This window comes from Homo sapiens, chromosome 8 (genome assembly GCF_000001405.40).
Source record: "Homo sapiens chromosome 8, GRCh38.p14 Primary Assembly".
Taxonomy (NCBI): domain Eukaryota; kingdom Metazoa; phylum Chordata; class Mammalia; order Primates; family Hominidae; genus Homo; species Homo sapiens.
The window spans coordinates 33,547,523-33,567,297 of record NC_000008.11 but is presented as its reverse complement, the minus strand read 5'-3'; the positions used below and the strand labels follow the sequence as shown (position 1 = coordinate 33,567,297).

At 49.2% G+C, this 19,775-nt stretch overlaps 1 protein-coding gene across 2 annotated transcripts, besides 5 other annotated features; it reads left to right on the top strand.

Moving 5' to 3' along the window:
- Window positions 1-169: 169 nt before the first annotated feature.
- On the top strand, window positions 170-19,544 carry RNF122 (ring finger protein 122). 2 transcript variants are annotated; one of them, NM_024787.3, is made up of 6 exons: window positions 170-599; window positions 8,527-8,683; window positions 15,909-15,954; window positions 16,213-16,254; window positions 17,806-17,888; window positions 18,431-19,544. In NM_024787.3, the coding sequence occupies exons 1-6, from the start codon at window positions 575-577 to the stop codon at window positions 18,543-18,545; spliced, it is 468 nt and encodes a 155-aa protein (NP_079063.2). In that variant the 5' UTR covers window positions 170-574; the 3' UTR covers window positions 18,546-19,544. The 2 variants fall into 2 exon arrangements, with proteins under 2 accessions (NP_079063.2, XP_016869335.1); XM_017013846.2 differs by lacking the exon at window positions 170-599 and adding an exon at window positions 1,393-1,722.
- Window positions 286-405: a silencer, noted in NCBI's record as "silent region_19103". NCBI's record gives its function as "represses an Ori minimal core promoter by ATAC-STARR-seq in GM12878 lymphoblastoid cells {active_cell/tissue: GM12878}" and the evidence as "EXISTENCE:reporter gene assay evidence [ECO:0000049][PMID:35858748]".
- Window positions 456-525: a silencer, noted in NCBI's record as "silent region_19102". NCBI's record gives its function as "represses an Ori minimal core promoter by ATAC-STARR-seq in GM12878 lymphoblastoid cells {active_cell/tissue: GM12878}" and the evidence as "EXISTENCE:reporter gene assay evidence [ECO:0000049][PMID:35858748]".
- Window positions 556-605: a silencer, noted in NCBI's record as "silent region_19101". NCBI's record gives its function as "represses an Ori minimal core promoter by ATAC-STARR-seq in GM12878 lymphoblastoid cells {active_cell/tissue: GM12878}" and the evidence as "EXISTENCE:reporter gene assay evidence [ECO:0000049][PMID:35858748]".
- Window positions 746-795: a silencer, noted in NCBI's record as "silent region_19100". NCBI's record gives its function as "represses an Ori minimal core promoter by ATAC-STARR-seq in GM12878 lymphoblastoid cells {active_cell/tissue: GM12878}" and the evidence as "EXISTENCE:reporter gene assay evidence [ECO:0000049][PMID:35858748]".
- Window positions 5,591-5,760: an enhancer, noted in NCBI's record as "active region_27222". NCBI's record gives its function as "activates an Ori minimal core promoter by ATAC-STARR-seq in GM12878 lymphoblastoid cells {active_cell/tissue: GM12878}" and the evidence as "EXISTENCE:reporter gene assay evidence [ECO:0000049][PMID:35858748]".
- Window positions 19,545-19,775: the final 231 nt, after the last annotated feature.

Here is a 19,775-nt window from a genome sequence, read left to right as displayed (position 1 = left end):
CCGTGCGAAGATCCTCCCGGCTTCCAGGGAAGGGAGGCTGGGCCTGCAAATAATAGCCGGGGGCAGGAGAAAGGCTCCGATTGGTCGGAGGGAGGGTGACGAACAAGGGGCGGAGTTTTCCTGGGGACTGGTGGGGGAAGTAAAAGGGAGGGGGTGTGCACCGCCGGGTGTCAGTTTCGGAACCCCAGCCAGCTCACCTCTGCGCCGCTGAACCCGATCCGAGCCTCCGGCAAAGGTTTTTCCCTCCTCCCCCGGCCGAGGGCTTCTGCAGCCCGGGCACCCCCGCCCCGCGGCGCCCCACATTCCCCCAGCCCGGGGCCCTTGGCGCGTGCGCTCCGTGCGGCTGTGCTCCGCGGGACTTTGTTTGTTTCCTCCTCGTCCCTCTTTGTTGGGCTGAACACCAGCCTCGTCAAAGCCCCCCACTCCGGAGGGAGTTCGGCTTCTCCAGCAGGGCGGCTGCAGCGCGCTGCCCCGACCCCGCCTGCGGCCCCTCACGCCGCTAGTGCTCCCACCCCGCCCTCCTGGCACCCCGCCTGCGTCCGTTCGCCCGAGGAAGCCAACCGCGACTTCATTGATGCACCCATTCCAGTGGTGTAACGGTGAGTCCCCGGGGCGAGGGCCGAGCCTACGTGGGGCTGGTGGGAGCCGCGGCGCGGGGTGCGAGGTCGGACAGCAGCGCGCTGGTCCTCCCTCGGGAACCAAGTTTCTCCTGAAATGGGACAGTCGAGAAGGCGTCTTGGCGCCCCACTCTGCTCTGCACAGCGCGGAATTTGAAACTATCCAGGTTTCACTCCAGAGCCTGGAAGGGGCCTCCGGACTGGCGGCGGGCCGGGGGCGTGGGAGCCGAGGGGTTCCCGGCCTTTGTGTGGCGGCCCGGCTCTTCTACCCCCTTCCCCTGCCTTTGTGCGCTCAAACTCTGTTCTTTGTTGTGGTTGTTGGAGGAGAATTAAATCCGCACTCGGGCTGGGATCTCCTAGAGGGAGCTCAAGTTCCCGGCCTGAAACTTTGCAGGCTATTGTAAATATGTATACCGTGCAGCGTGCGGGACTGGGCGCGGGGGTAGCTTCCTCTGGCTTTGTTGGTTTCCCACGGGCTGCTGGCGTGGCTTGGGTGCTTGCGGAAGACTGGATTAAAGAGTCGCTTTCGGCCAGGCGCGGTGGCTCACGCCTGTAATCCCAGCACTTTGGGAGGCCGAGGCGGGCGGATCACCTGAAGTCGGGAGTTCGAGACCAGCCTAACCAACATGGAGAAACTCCGTCTCTACTAAAAATACAAAATTAGCCGGGAGTGGTGGCGCATGCCTGTAAGCCCAGCTACTTGGGAGGCTGAGGCAGGAGAATCGCTTGAACCCAGGAGGCGGAGATTGCAGTGAGCCTAGATCGTGCCATTACACTCCAGCCTGGGCAACAAGAGCGAAACTCCATCTAAAAAAAAGCCGTTTTCCTGAGTTGATAAACCCTCGCAGAGAGCTCCGCGCCCGGCTGTCCCTGGGGTGCGAGGCTGGCCTGGCGGGAGCCGTGTTTCTGGCCACAAGGCCAGATTAGGGTGTCTGCTCCTGAGCCCAAGTGAAGGCCACACCTCCAGACGCGACAACCCCTCGCCCCATTTCTCCCCAGGCCTGGGTGATGCTTCTAAGTTAGTTCATTTCACCTGAGGCTTTTTGGAGGTTCAGGTGATACTGGGTTAGGCTGGAGTCTGATTCCTCAGCGAGCTACCTGAAAGGTAGGTGTTTCTGAGCGGGACACTTCAAAACCTTGGATACTAATCGCCCCCCACCCCACCCGCTCCAGTCCTCCTGGGGTCCTAGTCTTGACCGCGTTGTTCCGATGCTTGGAGAGTTTCTGGGAGAGAGAGATGGGAAGCAGCTGGCCTTATCTCTCAGTATGGCAAGCGAGCTAGTTACAGGGGGAAAAAAATCATTCTTTAGAGTAGACTCCTGCCAGATCTTGGATTAATTATGTCAAGAGGCTTTGTTTTGAGGCAGGGTTTGGGTAGCATGTATACCCCACATCCCCCCACCCCGCCTTCCTCCTTTTGCTGGTCGGATCTCATTTCCTGAAAATGAACCAAGCCGTGTGTGATAGGCGGTTTTGTGGGAGAGGGGGCAGAGGATGGGGGTTGAGGAAGGCCCTTGCACCCTAGCATCTGGGAAAGATTCCCGTTGGCTGGGAAAGAGAAGCAGTTCCCAGATCCCCTGGTCTTTCTTGGCCAGCCCTTGTCTGACGTCATTCCTGCTCCCAGCCTGCCAGATGAGATGAGACATTCTGATGTCAGTGCTTTCATAGGTTGGCCGAGACAATGGAACAGAGACTTAGGGAGAAATGAGGCAGCTGTCAGTAACACTGCCCTTTCTGGGCAGCGCCCTTTCATATCAGATTTTAGACTTGCTGCTTTATTTTTTTTATTTTTTATTTTTTATTTTTTTGAGACTGAGTTTCGCTCTTGTTGTCCAGGCTGGAGTGCAATGGTGTGATCTCGGCTCACCACAACCTCCGCCTCCCGGGTTCAAGCGGTTCTCCTGCCTCAGCTTCCCGAGTACCTGGGATTACAGGCATGTGCCACCATGGCCGGCTAATTTTGTATTTTTAGTAGAGAGGGGGTTTCTCCATGTTGTTCAGACTGGTCTTGAACTTTTGACCTCAGGTGATCTGCCCACCTCAGCCTCCCAAAGTGCTGGGATTACAGGCGTGAGCCACTGCGCCCAGCCTACTTTAATTTTTTTTTTGAGAGAGGGTCTCACTCCGACAACCATGCTGGAGTGCAGTGGCACGATCAGGGCTCACTGCGGCCTCCAACTCCCAGGCTGAAGGGATCCTCCTGCCTCAGCCTCCCAGCATAGCTGGAACCACAGGTGTGTGCAACCATACCTGGCTACTGGCTAATTTTTAATTAATTAATTAATTAATCTACTTTTTGGGGATAGGGTTTCACTACATTGCCTATGCTGGTCTTGAACTCCTGGGCTCAAGCAGTCCTCCCACCACGGACTCTCAAAATGCTGGAATTACCTGCAGGAGCCACCTTGTCTGGCCCTCTTTGCACTTCTTAGAAAAGTGACTGAGAGATCCTGTCCTTTGACTCCTGTGAAGAAGCAACCCTTCCCTCACCCCTTCAGAAACTACCTGGAGCCCCTCTTTCCTGGGGCTGGTATTCTCTGTCCTTATACAGTTTTAAAGAAAAACTTACTACAGTGTCAGCTTTTGACCAGTAGACTATTTTGCCATTTCTTTAATAGTAACACAAGCAAATGAACCATCTCCTCTTGACTATGCTCTTCCCACCGACCTCTTTATCACGTGAAATACCAAGCTCACTGATTCAATCAGTGGGAGATAAAGGGGAAGCCTTTATCAGGCAGGATAAGTTGGTGGGGATAAACTGATCAGAGGACTTGCGGGGACCATCGTGCTTGTGGAGTGCACAGATATCCTCTGTAATAGCTCTGACCAGGTTCTGCAAGTTCCCAGAACTGGAAACCAAAGGAGGTTTCAGCTCATAAAAGGTGCCTGGAAGAACTAAGGAAACGGGGGGTTAGACCCTCTTGTAACATCAAATAGTGCGGGGGAAGGAGGTGAGAAAACAGCTGGGAGCACCAGGTCTTGTTGGAAGGGAAGTCCTGAGCCCCTTTTCCAGCATAGACTGAAGTTTGTCACTCTAGCCAGTCTGCCATGATGTCCTCATGGAAAATTGTTCTTCTTTGACCCACAGAAAGTAAATATTTGGGTGGGGACTGGTGGTGAAAAGCACTTTCTCTCTAACCCCTACTAGAGCCTAGACACAAGGAACTTCCTGTTGGGCACAGCAAAGTTTAGTAGCTAATTATTTCTTTCATTTCAACTTAATCAAAAAGTCTTTCACAACAAGAACTTCTACTTTCTGTTTTCCCACAATGTGTAGGTCAGTGCATAAAGCAAGCCCTCAATAATACTTGCTGGTTGACTGGTGATCCATTAGCGGAGGGCAGTTTCTGGGCAATTTTCCCAAACATCAGTCCTGCTGCTTTGAAGTGGGAGGTTTTGCCAAGGGGACCAGGTTATTTTAAGAAAATGGGGAATTATTTATCTGTTAACTAGTTATTGAGAACAAGCCAAACTCTAGGCTAGGCCGGACACTGGAGAATATACAAAAGTCCAAGTTGGAGTCAGCAAACCTAGGAGGGTTCAGGCTTTTTTTTTTTTTTCTTTTTTTCTTGAGTCTCACTCTGTCGCCCAGGCTGGGGCACAGTGGCGCCATCTCAGCTCACTGCAGCCTCTGCCTCAGCTCACTGCAGCCTCTGCCTCCCGGGTTCAACCAATTCTCCTGCTCCAGCCTCCCGAGTAACTGGGACTACAGGTGTGCACCACCATGCCCAGGTTTTTTGTTTTGTTTTGTTTAGAGACGGGAGTCTCTCTCTGTTGCCCAGGCTAGAGTGCAGTGGTGTGATCTCCGCTCACTGCAACCTCCGCTTCCCAGGTCGAAGTAATTCTCCTGCCTCAGCCTCCCGAGTAGCTGGGATTACGGGTGCCAGACACCAAACCCAGCTAATTTTTGTATTTTAGTAGAGATGGTGTTTCACCATGTTAGCCAGGTTGGTCTTGAACTCCCGACCTCAGGTGATCTGCCTACCTCAGCCTCCCAAAGTGTTGGGATTACAGGCGTGAGTCACTGCACCTGGCCTGAGCCTCACTTTCTATGGTGAAAATCTTTGTGTCTTTTTTTCCTATGTGGTAAGATCATCAGATCATCTAATCTTTTTTTTTTCTTTTTCTTTTTTTTTTTTGAGACAAGGTCTTACTCTGGCCCATGCTAAGTGCAGTGGTGCAATTGTGGCTCACTGCAGCCTCGACCTCTCAGACTCAAGTGATTCTCCCATCTCAGCCTCCTGAGTAGCTGGGATTATAGGCACTTACCACCACACCCAGCTAATTTATCATTATTATTATTTGTAGAGGTGGGGGTCTTACTATGTTGCCTAGGTTAGTCTTGAACTTCTGGCCTCAAGCGGTCCTCCTGCCTCAGCCTCCCAAAATGCTGGAGTTACAGGTGTGAGCCACCACACCCGGCCTGTGCTTTCTTTTAATAGTACTTACCATATAATCAATGCTTAATGCACATTTGAGTTAAAGTAACTTAATGCTAGGAACGATGTAAGACAGTTAACTGAGTAAGTAGGGGCCGAACAAATGATGGAGGTCATGAGTGCTGTAGAATTGAAGGAAGAGAGGTTATTGGACTATCACAGGCTTGATGGGCCTCAGAGAGAGCGTTTCAGGCAGGGAAAGCTGTGTAAACAAAGACAGGGAAGCAGGCAAGGACAAGATTGTACAAGAAATAGTGAAAAAGACTGGCCCACATGGAGTAGTATTGGAGAACTTTTAAGTAGGAAGTTGTGAAGGGACAGGGTGAATGTTTTAGGAGGACTTGAAGCCAGTCATGAGTTTGTAAAATACAAGATCAAAACGACAAGGAGAGGGCGGGGCACAGTGGCTTATGCGCTGTAATCCCAGCACTTTCTTGGGAGGCCAAGACGGGTGGATCACTTGAGGTCAGGTGTTCAAGACCAGACTGTCCAACATGGTGAAACCCAGTCTGTACTAGAAATACAAAAACTAGCTGGGCGTGGTGGTGTACACCTATAGTCCTAGCTACTCAGGAAGCTGAGGTAGAAGGATCACTTGAACCCAGGAGGCAGAGGTTGCAGTGAGCCAAGATAGTGCCACTGCACTCTAGCCTGGGTGACACAATGCAAGACTGTCTAAAAAAAAATTAAAAAAAAAAAGGCAACTAGGAGGATGTGTCAGGCGTGTGGGGTAAATGAGAGAAGGAACTAGAAACAGGGATGACATCAACTAGGAAACAGTAGGAGGTGATGAGTGTTTACAATAGGGCTGTGGCAGTAGAATTGGGCACAGCCTGAAAGAGGTTTGAATGGAGGCTCGTTATATAGTCATCAGTAAGGGATGAGGAGGACTGATGTCCAAGTTGACTTCCAGTCTTTCAAGCCACCTTCTGCTGAGTTGTAGTAGCACTGGTTATTAGCGTATAGAATTCTGTGGCATGTGAATGCATCCTGGCTCCTAACCAAGATGTCAGGAAAGTGCCTAGAACCCAAGGCCTGGGTACAGAGAACCCTTTGGAGCTGGGCTTTCCTAGCTGTTTGACTGTGGGCGAGTTACTAAATGATTGAGTCTTTTTCCCATTGGCGGGGGGAAGTAACCTTTACTGTGGCAGTACAAAGATTAAATTGATAGCATGAGAATGTGCTTAGGATGCAGCAGGTGAACAGCAAATTCCAGCTCTCCCTTTCATCAAGGACTCCCCTCTTTCCCTTTCCCTTCTGCCATCCTCAGCCATTTGACTTTTTTTGTTTTGTTTTTGTTTTTGTTTTTAGATGGAGTCTTGCTCTGTCTCCAAGGCTGGAATACAGTGGCACGATGTCAGCTCACTTGCAACCTCCACCTCCCAGGTTCAAGTGATTCTCCTACCTCAACCTCCCGAGTAGCTGGGATTACAGATGTGTGCAACCATGCCCAGCTAATTTTTTAATAGAGATGGAGTTTCACCATGTTGGCCAGGCTGATCTCAAACTCCTGACCTCAAGCCATCCAGCCGTCTCGGGCTCCCAAAGTACTGGGATTACAGGCGTGAGACACCATGCCTGGTCAAGCATTTGACTTTCTACTGAGCTGCTCTTTCCAGCTACAGCTTGGCTATCACAATTCTAGGTGTCTCTGAGAGACATGACCCCCCTCACAAAAAAAAAAAGGAAAAAAAGAACCTGCCGGGTGCAGTGGCTCATGCTTATAGTCCCAGCCCTTTGTGGGGCTGAGGCAGGAGGATCTCATTGAGGCCAGGAGTTGGAGGATACAGTGAGGCATGTTTACACCACTGCACTCCAGCCTGCAGGGACAGAGTGAGACCTTGTCTCCAAAAACAAACAAGCAAAGTTCCTTTTCCAGCAGATCTCTTTGTTTCTTTGCTCAGAACCTGGTTACGTACCCACCTGAACACCAAATACTGGCAAGGGGGGAAGGGAGAGGTGACTATCATGATGAGTAGGCCAGTCAGTATTTATCCCTGAGTCCTGTGAGAAGGGATGCATCTAGTGGCTGGCCAGTGCTTTTCAAACTGAATGTGCAGGGGAATCACCTGAGGAGCTTGTTAAAACGTAGGTCCTGGCTAGGTGCCGTGGCTCATGCCTGTAATCCCAGCACCATGGGAGGCCAAAGTGGGTGGATCGCCTGAGGTCAAGAGTTCGAGACCAGCCTGGGCAACATGGTGAAACCCCATCTCTACTAAAAATTCAAAAATTAGCCGGGCATGGTGGCGTGCGCCTATAATCCCAGCTACTCGGGAGGCTGAGGCAGGAGAATCGCTTGAACCTGGGAGGCGGGGTTTGCAGTGAGCCAAGATCACGCCACTGCCCTCCAGCCTGGGTGACAGAGCAAGACTCTGTTTAAAAAAAAAAAAAAAAAAAACAGCGTAGGTCCTGATTCAGTTAGGCAGGGATGGACCCGAGAGTATATGTTTCTAAAAAGCTCCCAGAGGATGCTGCTGCCATTGGTACCACACATTGAGACTTTGAGGAGAAAGAGGGAAGGTGACCACAGTAAGGGAAGTTGCAACCTCCTCCCCACCCCCATCGCCACTTTCTGGAATGCTGGCCCAGGACTTGGAGTGAATAATTTCTATTCTAGTCCTGGCATGGCTTGTCTTCTGGAACAGGTGGCTTAATAATGACAAATGACCTTTGCAATTGTCCTTTGCAATTTACAAAGCATATTTTCTTATGCGCTCATTTTCATTCCTCTCTCTATTTTGCTTGTTTTCATATAACAAAGTGAAGCTTAGAGGTAATTTCTTAACGGTCATATGGCTAGCTAGGGATGGGGGAGTTGGAACCCAAATAATATTTTCTCAGCTAAGGCAATATGGGCTCCTACCTAATGGAATTAAGCTCTCCAGTTTCTGCCCATTGCCTAAATTCTTTTTTTTTTTTAATTTTTAAAAATAGAGATTGGGTCTCACGCTGTCACCCAGGCTGGTGTGCAGTGGTGTAATCACCGCTCATTGCAGCCTTGTACTCCTGGGCTCAAGTGATCCTCCCACCTCAGCTTCCTGAGTAGCTGGGACTACATGGTAGTACATGCGCTACCATGCCTAGCTAATTTTTCTATTTTTTTTTAGAGATGGGGTCTTATGTTGGCCAGGCTGTTCTTGAACTCTTGGCCTCGAGATCACCTGCCTCAGCCTCTCCAAAGTACTGGGATTACAGGCATGAGCCACCACACCCAGCTTGCCTGAATTTATTGTCCCTTAGATGGGGATATTGTTTTAAGTATTTTGGATAGTATTCAATTTTGTAGATCAGATTTACTCAAGATTACATAGCTAGTAAATGTTAGAACTAGGATATAAAACTGGAGCCACTGAATCTGAGGCTTAGGTGCCCAGAGCCTGCCAGTTATTTCTATCCTGCTGACACAGTGCTATCAGCCCAGCAGTAAATTTCCAACCCTAATGATTTTTTTTTCTCTCCCTTTGCAGGGTGTTTCTGTGGCCTGGGACTGGTTAGCACCAACAAGTCCTGCTCGATGCCACCCATCAGTTTCCAGGACCTTCCGCTCAACATCTATATGGTCATCTTCGGCACAGGCATCTTTGTCTTCATGCTCAGCCTTATCTTCTGCTGCTATTTTATCAGGTGCGTGGATCCCTGGCTGACCGGGGTGGGAGTCCAGCAGGAGGGAGGAGACCAGGGTTGTGGGGTAAGCTGAGCGAGGGTCCCACAGCAGAGTCACCAGTCTTATACTGGAGCCACCACTTTGAGGACACGGCTGAGCCTGCCCTTCTCTAGGCCCCTGAGGATCTGGTGTTTCTATTTACATTAGCCTATCAAGTTGTTCCTGAGCATATAAGGTCACCACGGGTTGGGCTGCATCCCACCTCCTCGCCAATTATTCTAAGGTTGCCTAGAATTACTGTGTGACTGAGTAATAAAGTTAGTGGTCCCTTCCTTGTCTGTCTGTCTCTATTCCTACTCATGCCCTTTGGGTGGTCGGGAACAGGTGGGCATCAGTTATGCCAGCGTCATGTTCCTTTGCCCTCCTGGGACCTGTTGTCAGCCCTCCAGATACTAATATTAGGAAGCAAGCCGGTGTCTAGAGAGCTACTTGGTTTTTGTTTTGTTTTGTTTTTTTGAGATGCTCAGGCTGGAGTGCAATCTCAGCTTACTGCAACTTCCACCTCCTGGGTTCAAGCAATTCTCCTGCCTCAGTCTCCCAAGTAGCTGGGATTATAGGCGCACGCCACCACGCCTGGCTAGTTTTTGTATTTTTAGTAGAGATGGGGTTTCACCATGTTGACCAGGATGGTCTCGAACTCCTGAGCTCAAGTGATCCACCCACCTCAGCTTCCCAAAATGCTAGGATTGCAGGCATGAGTCACCACACCCGGGCGGAGCTACTTGTTTATTCCGCCTTATAAGCTCTTATTTTTGAGAGTGGAAAAAACCAAAACAAACCTAAAAAACTGTCATTTATTCTTGATTGCTTAGGGATCCAAGAGAAGACCTGGAGTTTGGCAGGGCTCGCCACACTCCAGGAACGCTTTCTCTTATCTCTTGTTGAAGGACATGGGGACTGGTGGCTGTTTTCTTTTTACTTTTTCTTTCTTTCTTTTTTTTTTTTTTGAGACGGTGTCTCACTTCATCACCCAGGCTGGAGTGCAGTGGCACAGCCTTGGCTCACTGCAACCCCTGCCTCCTAGGTTAAAGCGATTGTCCTGCCTCAGCCTCCCTAATAGCTGGAATTATGGGTGCATGCCTAGCTAATTTTTATTTTTGTATTTTTAGTAGAGACGGGGTTTTGCCACATTGGCCAGGCAGGTCTCGAACTCCTGACCTCAAGTCATCCACCCCCCTCGGCCTCCCAAAGTGCTGGGATTACAGGCATGAGCCCTCGTGCTCGGCCTCTGGTGGCTGTTTTCTATAAAAAATTTTGAGCATGACTGGTATTTAGAATGGGAATCAAAGTAGTAGTGTTTCTGACTGGGGTTTACTGTTGGCATTGACAATTCCTCATTGTATGGGACTGTTCTGTACATTGGAGAATATTGAACATCCCTGGCCAATAGGGCATACTAGTAGTCTTTAGGGCCATTGTGGCCATTAGCTGTCTCCCCCGCCACCCACACATTACCAAATGCTTGGGTAGACATCAGCTGTGGTCTGGGCTGGTGACTGATCAAATAATTTAAGAAGATTAAATTAAGATTAAGGAAAAGGCTTTGCTGGCTTTATTCCTAAGATGCCCTTCTGGGTTTGAGTGCTTTGCTAGAAGGCAGCTACAAGAGAGGCAGGTACTAGTCCATCTTCTCCAAGGCTGGAAGAGCTCCCTCTAAGAAGGGGAAGTGCCCTCAGGCACATCTCCCCACCACTCCCAGGTGCTACCTTGGACCTGTTCTTTCTCAGAACTTTTCACACAGGTCCCTGAAACTAGAATTTTCCACATAAAAATCTATGCAGAGGAGATACTGGTTTATCTTCCCTCTTGTACAGTTGGGTCTGAAGATTGCATCTAACCATTAAGCGGAGATGAGGGTAGATTTCTGGTATCTCTCCTCTCTTCCTGTCTCCTCCCCTTTCCTGAAGCCTGTTTTTTTCCTTGAATTCTTCCTGACCACCAACCTGCCCACTCCCGCACACCCGTGTTAAGCAATTCACACTTAAATCCTGGAGACAGGGATGAAGATACACCAAATACCAAAGATTTCTTTATGATGAGGCTGAGAGGGGTTTGTAAAACCAACTCTCCTTGGTCCCTTTCCTCCCTGCTCCCCCTGCCCACCACACACACACAGAAGCATACACATGCCAAGCGGCAAAGGGCTTCAAGAGACCATCTAGGCCGGGCACCATGGCCCTTGCCTGTAATTGTAGCACTTTGGGAGGTCAAGGCAGGAGAGTCGCTTGAGTCCAAGAGTTTGAAACCAGCCTTGGGAACAAAACTCCATCTCTACAAAAATGACTTAGAGAAAACTACTCTAGGCTAGGAAGTGGGTGACCAGAGTTCATTTCGTAAATCAACCAATAATAGGTGTGACCTTAGGTTTTCTTTTTTTTTTTTTTTTTTTTTTTTTGAGACAGGGTCTTGCTCTGTTGCCCAGGCTGGAGTGCAGTTGTAAGATCTCGGCCCACTGCAACCTCCACCTCCCGGGCCCAAGCCATCCTCCCAACTCAGTCTCCCGAGTACAGGTGTGTGCCACCATGCCCAACTAATTTTTTAATTTTTTGTGGATAATTTTTATATTTTTTGTAGCGATGAGGTTTCACCATGTCACCCAAGGTGGTCTCAAACTCCTGAGTTCAAGCCATCTGCCTGCCTCAGCCTCCCAAAGTGCTGGGATTACAGGCATGAGCCACCGTGCCCGGCCTTTAGCCACTCTTTACCAAGGGCTTTCCATAGGCCAGGCATTGTGGTCAGCATTTGAAAAAACATTTAGCTCGCTTAATCCTTAGTATAGGTATTGACCCACTTTATAAATGAGGAATTTCATGCTCAGACTGTTCAGGATCTGCCCAAGGTGATACATAGAGGAAGATACAGAGGTGGACAAGTCTGGTAGCAATGAGCTAGGGTCTTGCCGAGTCCTTCCAAGTGTTTGCCTTTTGAGTCATATTCCTTGAAGTAGAGGAGCCGCTATAGGCTCCACAACCACCCCCTTGCAGGTCAGGATCTGTTCTTGCAGAAGGACAGGTTTGAGAGCTGTGAATTGCTGATTTCTTTTTCTTTGGCTGTGGTCAAAGAACAGAACAGGGCTGGGCGTGGTGGCTCACGCCTGTAATCCCAGCACTTTGGGAGGCTGAGGCAGGTGGATCACCTGAGGTCAGGAGTTCGAGACTGGCCTGACCAATATGGTGAAACCCTGTCTCTACTAAAAATACAAAAATTAGCCGGGTGCTGTGGCAGGCACCTGTAATCCCAGCTACTTGGGAGGCTGAGGCAGGAGAATCACTTGAACCCAGGAGGTGGAGGTTGCAGTGAGCTAAGATCATGCCATTGCACTCCAGCCTGGGCAACAAGAGTGAAACTCCCTCTCAAAAACAAACAAACAAAAAAAAACCCAAAAAAACACAAAAAACAGAACAGTAACCACATGATGCTAAAAGCTGACCCCACTGTGGTGCTACTGAGCACCACCTGTTCCTTTAGTAATCTCCTTCGTCACCCTGCCCTGGTCTGTAGCCTGCCTGAAGCCTGCTGACCCTGGAGTTTCACAGTCTCAGAGGCCCACTGGTACATGGTAGCCTGTGAATGTCTATATATAGAAAGACACACAGGCGCAGAAGCCACCACTTCCTCTCCCTGCTTCTCGGTTTCCTCCTCAGCCAAAATAGGCCCCACTTCTGACCTGGTGAGCTCAGCGGCCAAGGCCAGCCCCTCGCTCATTCTTCCCCCTCTCTCAGAGCTGACCTCTGCCCTACACAGGAATGGAGGGGCCGGGGAAGTACAAATAGGCAGGAAGGGAAACATTATTTTCAGGACCTGGCTGCATTGTTTGTTCTAAAAGGGAAAAGAGGAAAGGGAGAGCCCACTGGCAGCGGCTAGAAATGGTCTCATTGAAATCAGGGTATTTTTAGTTGCTGTGTTCACCCAACAGCTGAGAAGGCCACCTGTCCAGACTGGTTGGTACTAGGTCCCCAGCTGGGATTGCCCAGGGTTTTTGCTTTTTGCTCTGGTTTCCTTGCAAGCTTTTCGGCCACATTTCATCATGATCTCATCCTTTCTGAGCTGAAATCTGTATGCAGGATGAGGGGGCAGCTCTGATGCCCCTCCCTGTTCTGAGTTTTGGAGGATCCCTGGGCAAAACCACTAAAGGATCCAGCCAGACAAGAGGCATGATGGGTGGGGAAGTGGTACTCTAGGTGCCTGGGGTACAGAAAACAGAAAAAGACAGCATCTGCTACATAAGTATAGCCACATTGCAGGTGAGACATTGGTGCCTCAAAGATGCATAGCAATCACTCATTCCCCAGACAGTTAAAAACACAGGCTTTTCACCACTTCCTTATTTACTCTGCACGTGCCTCATAACAGAGCAACAGTGTCTTTCTCCCTCAAGGCCGCTGTGAGCTCCCTGTCCCTGGGAACACTTCCTTCCCACCTCTGCTGAACCCAGTGTCAGTCAAGCAACAGTAGCCACCTAAGCGTTGGGTATGTCCTGCCCTGCTCATTTGGAAATTGGAACAGAGACACATGTGTATGTACAAAGACCTTTTCTGGACCAAGGAGCTCTCTGCAAAGTGAAGGATGAGACAGTGGGAGCCTTGGTTAGGCCTTTAGCCCAGCCCTGCCTTAAGCAGAAAGGATATTGTGGGGAGAGGTGGGAGGGGAGGGGACGGTGGATGGGCTGCCCCAGTGCCCAAGCCCGTGGCATGAGTCCACTTGGACTGGAGCTCTCAAGAGGCTCCAGGAACATGAACCTCGCCAGGACACCTGACTTCCTATCAGGAACAATGGAGGAGGCTGGCAGCCTGATCTTATCTGCCCTGCACTGTGCTACGGGCCTGGCTGTGCCCCCATCTTCTGCCTCTTCCATTACCCAGGGAGCAGCTTCAGCTTCTCACCCCACCCCCTTCCACTGGGGCTGTTTGTGATTGGAGCCTTCCTTTTATTGACTTGGGTCAGTCATCCATCTATCCACTCATTTGTTTATTTATTTTAATTATTTATTTAAAAAAAATTTTTTTGCCAGAGTCTCACTCAGTTGTTCAGCCTGGAGTGCAGTGGGGGCAATCCTAGCTCATTGTAACCTCTGAACTCTTGGGCTCAAGGGACCCTTCTGCCTCAGACCCCCCAAGTAGCCAGGACTACAGACATGCACCATCATACCTGGCTAATTTTCTTTTGTTTATTTATTTTTGAAGAGACAAGTTCTCACTGTGTCACCCAGGCTGGTCTCAAACTCCTGGCCTCAAGCAATCCACCTGAGTTGGCATTATTCTTTATTTCTGTTTTCAACCATTTAAGAATAAAAACCACTCTTAGCCTCTAGACCCTGCAAAAACAAGTAGTGAGCTGGATTTGGTCCTCAGACTAAAGTTTCCTGCTTCTCCTGGCTTGCTGGGTTTCTATGTTTCCTTCCAAATAACCCAGGACTGTGTTTAGAAGTGATCACCAGGAAAAGCTCCATAAGGTTCCCCCATAGCACACATAGAGGAGGCATTCTTTTTTTTTTTTTTTTTTTTGAGACAGGGTCTTGCTCTGTCACCCAGGCTGGAGTGCAGTGGTGCGATCTCTGCTAACTGCAACCTTCGTCTCCTGGGTTCAAGCGATGCTTATGCCTCAGCCTTCTGAGTAGCTGGGATTACAGGTGCATGCCACCATGCCGTGTGAATTGTCCTGTGAATTTTTGTACATTTTGTAGAGATGGGGTTCTGCCATGTTGCCCAGGCTGGTCTCAAACTCCTGAGCTCAAGCAATCTGCCCACCTCGGCCTCCCAAAATGCTGGGATTACAGGCATGAGCCATCCCACCCAACCCACATACAGGAGGCATTCTAAAGCTACCTGCAGAGTTCAGCATGTAAGATCCTCCATCCCTTCCTTGAAAATAATACGGCAAAAAATCCAGTGTATAATTATGGTCTCGGCCATTTGCACAGCAAGCCATTCAGAGTTGTAAACTTAATAAAAGGTAGGGTGTGTCCCAAGACCAGATCATATTCTCAGGACTATGATGTATTCCACCTGATTAGGGGAACAGACCACATTATATGGTAAAGAGCTTGGACTCTGTCATCACACCAACTTTGATTCAAATCTAGACTCTGCTACCAATTAGCTCTGTGATGTTTAGGCAAATAAATTCACTTCTTTGGGCTTCATTTTTCTTTTTCTTTTTCTTTTTTTATTTTTATGAGACAGAGTTTCGCTCTTGTTGCCCAGGCTGGAGTGCAATGGCGCAATCTCGGCTCACTGCAACCTCCGTCTCCTGGGTTCAATCGATTCTCCTGCCTCAGTCTCCCAAGTAGCTAGGATTACAGGCATGCACCACCACACCGGCACATTTTGTATTTTTAATGTGACGGAGTTTCACCATGTTGGCCAGGCTGGTCTTGAACTCAAGTGATCCACCTGCCTCGGCCTCCCAAAGTGCTGGGATTACAGGCATGAGCCACCGCACCCAGCCAGGCTTTATTTTTCTTATCTGTAAAAGCGAAGGTATCTCACTCTTGGAGTTTGGAATCATTAAGAACATATATGAATATGTTAAGTGTCCCAGCGACATATAGCAAGTACTTCATAACCATTATATTATGCTATTGCCATTAGTAACGGCATGCCATGTTTTGGCCATTGAGAGTCAGCCCGTTTGCAGGCCACCAGCTTAAAATGAAAAGAAGAAAACAAAGGAGGCATCGTCTGTGTTGTCCGGCACAGTGAAGGGAAGAGTGTGCTTTGGTTCCAGAATACTTATGTTCTCCGGGTGGAAAATTCCCCAGGGTCAACAGAGACTTATTCTGCTATCCTGGCTTAACAGAAATAACCCTTTTATGCATATCTGTCTAACTTCCGCACACTCAGTAAACACAGTGTTGATTTCTATGTAGTTTGGTGACTGAAGGAATTTGCCGACCAGAAAAAGGCAGGGTGAGTGAATGAGCTATTTGGGGATGCTGTGCTGGAGGGTCCCCCAATCTGTGTATGAGACCTGGTGGTGAATTTTGAGGCTGTCAAACCCGAGTAACAGTCTTAGTCCTTTATCAACCCTTGTTGGCTTGCATAGGTCCAAAGTATGCCCTGTGGTGTGTATGGGACAAGCACCCCTCCCTGCCCTCGGAAGAATGCCCAAGCAGCCAGCCAGCCTCTCCTGCTTTGAATTGTTCCATTTAACCTGCTTTCTCTAATTTTTTTCTCTTTCTCCCAGCAAACTGCGGAACCAGGCACAGAGTGAGCGATACGGATATAAGGAGGTAAAGTGCTGCGTGTTTCCCAGAAGCTTCCTTCTCTGCCTGACCTGATAGGAAGAGGCAAGGAGGGCAGGCTCAGGTTCTCCTGGGCAGGAATCCCCCTGGCCTCACCTCTGGGTCTCCCTGAGGCTAAACCCCTTCAGTGTCTGAAGTCCGGCTTGCCCCAGGCAGTCCAGGGGACTCCCTTCATTGGTTGATACTACCTGGCTGGCCCCAGTGGTTGGTTCTTCTTTGGACATCATGCCTCCTCTTTCTTTTCAGGTGGTGCTTAAAGGTGATGCCAAGAAGTTACAATTATATGGGGTAAGTGTGCCAGGAAAGTGTGCAGGAGGGCCCCAGCAGGTGAGGCAGACAGCACCTTGCTCCAGTTCTCTGCCTGGACGCTTTTCAGAAAACTGCTTAGTCCATGCCTTCATATCTCCTTTGGCCAAATAATGGAGACACATCTCAGCAAGTAATTAATATGTGGAATTGATTACACCTGGAACAGCCTCAGGCAGAAGACATGAAGGGATCACAGAAGGGTTTAGATAAGTAGTGCCCCACAGCCCCAGGAGTCCCACAATACATAATTTTTACCAGGAGGATGGTCGTACCCTTTCATGCCATAGACAGAATTCAGCTAACTTTCCCTATGTTCAGCCCCTACATCCTGGTTGTTATCATAGGAAATGAGGTCCTTTTACTTTTGTATATACCCCATCTTAACAGACTAGATCTGACTAGTGTGTTCATTCCTGTGGCTCTGCCATTTCTCTCCCACCCCACTCCCACCCATACACCAGTTCCTTGAGTCCCCTCAACTCTGACTTGAGGAATTAGTCATATCCTATTCCTTTCCTACCTATGCCTCTAAGGTCACCTAACCCATTTCCCAAGGCTCCTGTTCATGACCACAGACACTCCTACTCAGAGCATGTTTGTGGTTGTCTGGGAGCAGAGCGGATCACAGTTCCACTAAACATGAGACTGCCTAGACGTGGCCTCATTTTGTCTATTACACCTCTGCAAGTGCTGATGTTTCCCAAGCCTTTCTCTCAGAGAATAATTCAACTGAGATCAAGGGAGTTAATATGTAGGGATGTGGGAAGTCTGGATTTAAAGAATGTAACTGGGCCAGGTGCGGTGGCTCATGCCTGTAATCCCAGAACTTTGGGAGGCCGAGGTGGGTGGCTCACCTGAGGTCAGGAGTTCGAGACCAGCCTGACCAACATGGTGAAACCCCATCTATACAAAAAATACAAAATTAGCTGGGTGTGGTGGCACATTCCTGTAATCCCAGTTACTTGGGAGGCTGAGGCAGGAGAATTGCTTGAATCTGGGAGGTGCAGGTTGCAGTGAGCCAAGATTGCACCATTGCACTCCAGCCTGGGCAACAAGAGTGAAACTCCATCTCAAAAAAAAAAAAAAACATAACTGATCACATATACCATGCCCTCATCCTACCTCTAGTTGGTATTAAGTGCCACATCACCAAATGTATTGGGCAAGAAAGGATTGAAAACCATTCTTCTAGGACAGTAATTTCCAGTGCAGTGGAAACTTCTGTGATAATAGGAATGTTCTATATCCATGCCATTCAATATGGAAACCATGTGGCTGTTGAGCACTTGAAATGTGGTGAGTGTAACTAGGGACTGAATTTATAATTTCATCTAATTTTGGTTAATTTAAATTTAAACAGCCACATATGGTTAATGACTACCATGCCATCAATATAGTTTTGTAAAGGATGGCTAAAAAGTTTCTCTGCCTGGTAGAACAGACTAGGCTAGAGCTTAGTTTTCTTGTCTGGGGTTGAATGAGTGAGATGGTTCCCCAGTTCCTCACACACCTGCTCTTTTCTCTCTGCAGCAGACCTGCGCAGTCTGTCTGGAAGACTTCAAGGGGAAGGATGAGTTAGGCGTGCTCCCGTGCCAACACGCCTTTCACCGCAAGTACGTGGGAATGTGTCCAGGGTGCCCGTCGAAGGAGAAATAATCAGGGAGCATCTTCTGGAAACTTCCAGTCTCTGCCACTTTCTATTTGCCCCTTATCCGTGATGCCCCAGGTCCTACGTGAACACCGAGCAAAGCCCAGAGGGATTAGGTTGGGACAGGGGTAGGGATATTCTTCTTTTTTTTTTGAGTTGGAGTTTTGCTTTTGTTGCCTAGGCTGGAGTGCAATGGTGCGATCTCAGCTCACTGCAACCTCTGCCTCCCAGGTTCAAGCGATTCTCCTGCCTCAGCCTCCCAAGTAGCTGGGATTACAGGTGTCCACCGCCATGCCTGGCTAATTTTTGTATTTTTAGTATAGATGGGGTTTCACCATGTTGGCCAGGCTGGTCTCGAACTCCTGACCTCAGGTGATCCACCTGCCTCAGCCTCCCAAAGTGCTGGGATTACAGTTGTGAGCCACCACGGGATATTCTTGTTTTGAGAGACAACTGGAGCAGCGTGGTCTGTCTGGTTAGAGATTACCATTCCTCATTTGTTCTCAGGTGTCTGGTGAAATGGCTGGAAGTTCGCTGTGTCTGCCCCATGTGTAACAAGCCCATTGCTAGTCCCTCAGAGGCCACGCAGAACATTGGGATTCTATTGGATGAGCTGGTGTGAGTGCTGCCGCTACACCGAGACCTGGAGAAGACCTCTTGCCTCATGGATGTCTGGTCCCTCTGCACAGCTCCAACCAACAGGACTGTAGGGTGATGACGATCACTTTCCCAGTGATGAGAAGGGTGGTCTAGGACTGGGCTTCTACCCTCAGTGCAAGACCAGTGCCAGATGTGCCCCCACTTCCTGCCTCCTGAAGCCTTCTTCCCTGCTACTCCATGCTGGTGGCCTCACCCATCAAGACCACTGTCTCCTGGTACTGGACTATCTACCTGCCTTGTCCCTGTTCTGGGGGAAGGTGTCCACCCCGATCAAGAACATGGAGAAAGTCCTCTTTCAAGGCTCCCATTAGGAGGATGAGCTGCCTTGACCCAGAAGGGATGAGACGGGCTCTTACCTCTCTACAACCTTCCCTCCCCTTCCCACTCCTTCCGGAGTAAGGTTAGAAGGGAAGGAAGGAAAGATCAAGGAACCAAGCGCCTCCACGGGAGGCGAGGGAGGCTCTGTATGAAACAGAAGAGCAGGGACATAAAGGAAAATGTCAGTGTTTACATGGGACCTATGGAAACAAAGGCTGGCGGGCGCCAGCTGACTCCAGAGTAAGAGAGGGCCCTTCCCCTGCCAGGACCCACGGTGCTATCCATTCAGTCTCTTCCTCAGTTAATCTCGGAGCTTCCTATTCCATGTTGAGGTTTGTGGGCCCCTCTAGAGGAGGGCTAGTTCTATACTTAAATTGATTCCCAGGGGCCTTTTTTTTTTTTTTTTTTTTTTTTTTGATCAAAAGGGGTGTGGGGATGGGGGTGTCTACGGTTAAGCAACAGATACCTCCTTCCCTTTGTAAATAGTATTTTTATACTTCATCCTCGCCTCTCAGGCTTTAGATACGAAATCTCCAGAATGGAAGGGGGTGGGGATTTTCTGTTCCTCCCTGGAGTGGGTGAGGGTGGGAGAAAGTTACATATTTAAAGAAAAATAAATTTAATAACAAGTTTCTCTAACCTACTTTTGCTTGTGGTTGTGGCTGCCTGGCCCTTTTCTGCCAGTAGAGGGAAAAAAGTTCTCAAACTGCCTCTTCTCACTTTTCCATACCCAAATCAAACACACACGCATACACACACACACACGTTCCTGATCCTTTTTAAATGTCTTTACTTTTATCTTTCTGAGGCAGGGTCTCACTCTGTCATCAAGGCTGGAGCATAGTGGCATGATCACAGATCACTGCAACCTCCC

What these genes read in the sequence shown, in the direction of transcription:
- RNF122 (NM_024787.3), top strand. Translation starts at nt 575, where the DNA reads ATGCACCCATTCCAGTGGTGTAACG. An exon ending in TTCTGCTGCTATTTTATCAG is followed by an intron (nt 8,684 to 15,908) that starts GTGCGTGGATCC and finishes TCTTTCTCCCAG; the next exon opens with CAAACTGCGGAACCAGGCAC. An exon ending in CAACACGCCTTTCACCGCAA is followed by an intron (nt 17,889 to 18,430) that starts GTACGTGGGAAT and finishes ATTTGTTCTCAG; the next exon opens with GTGTCTGGTGAAATGGCTGG.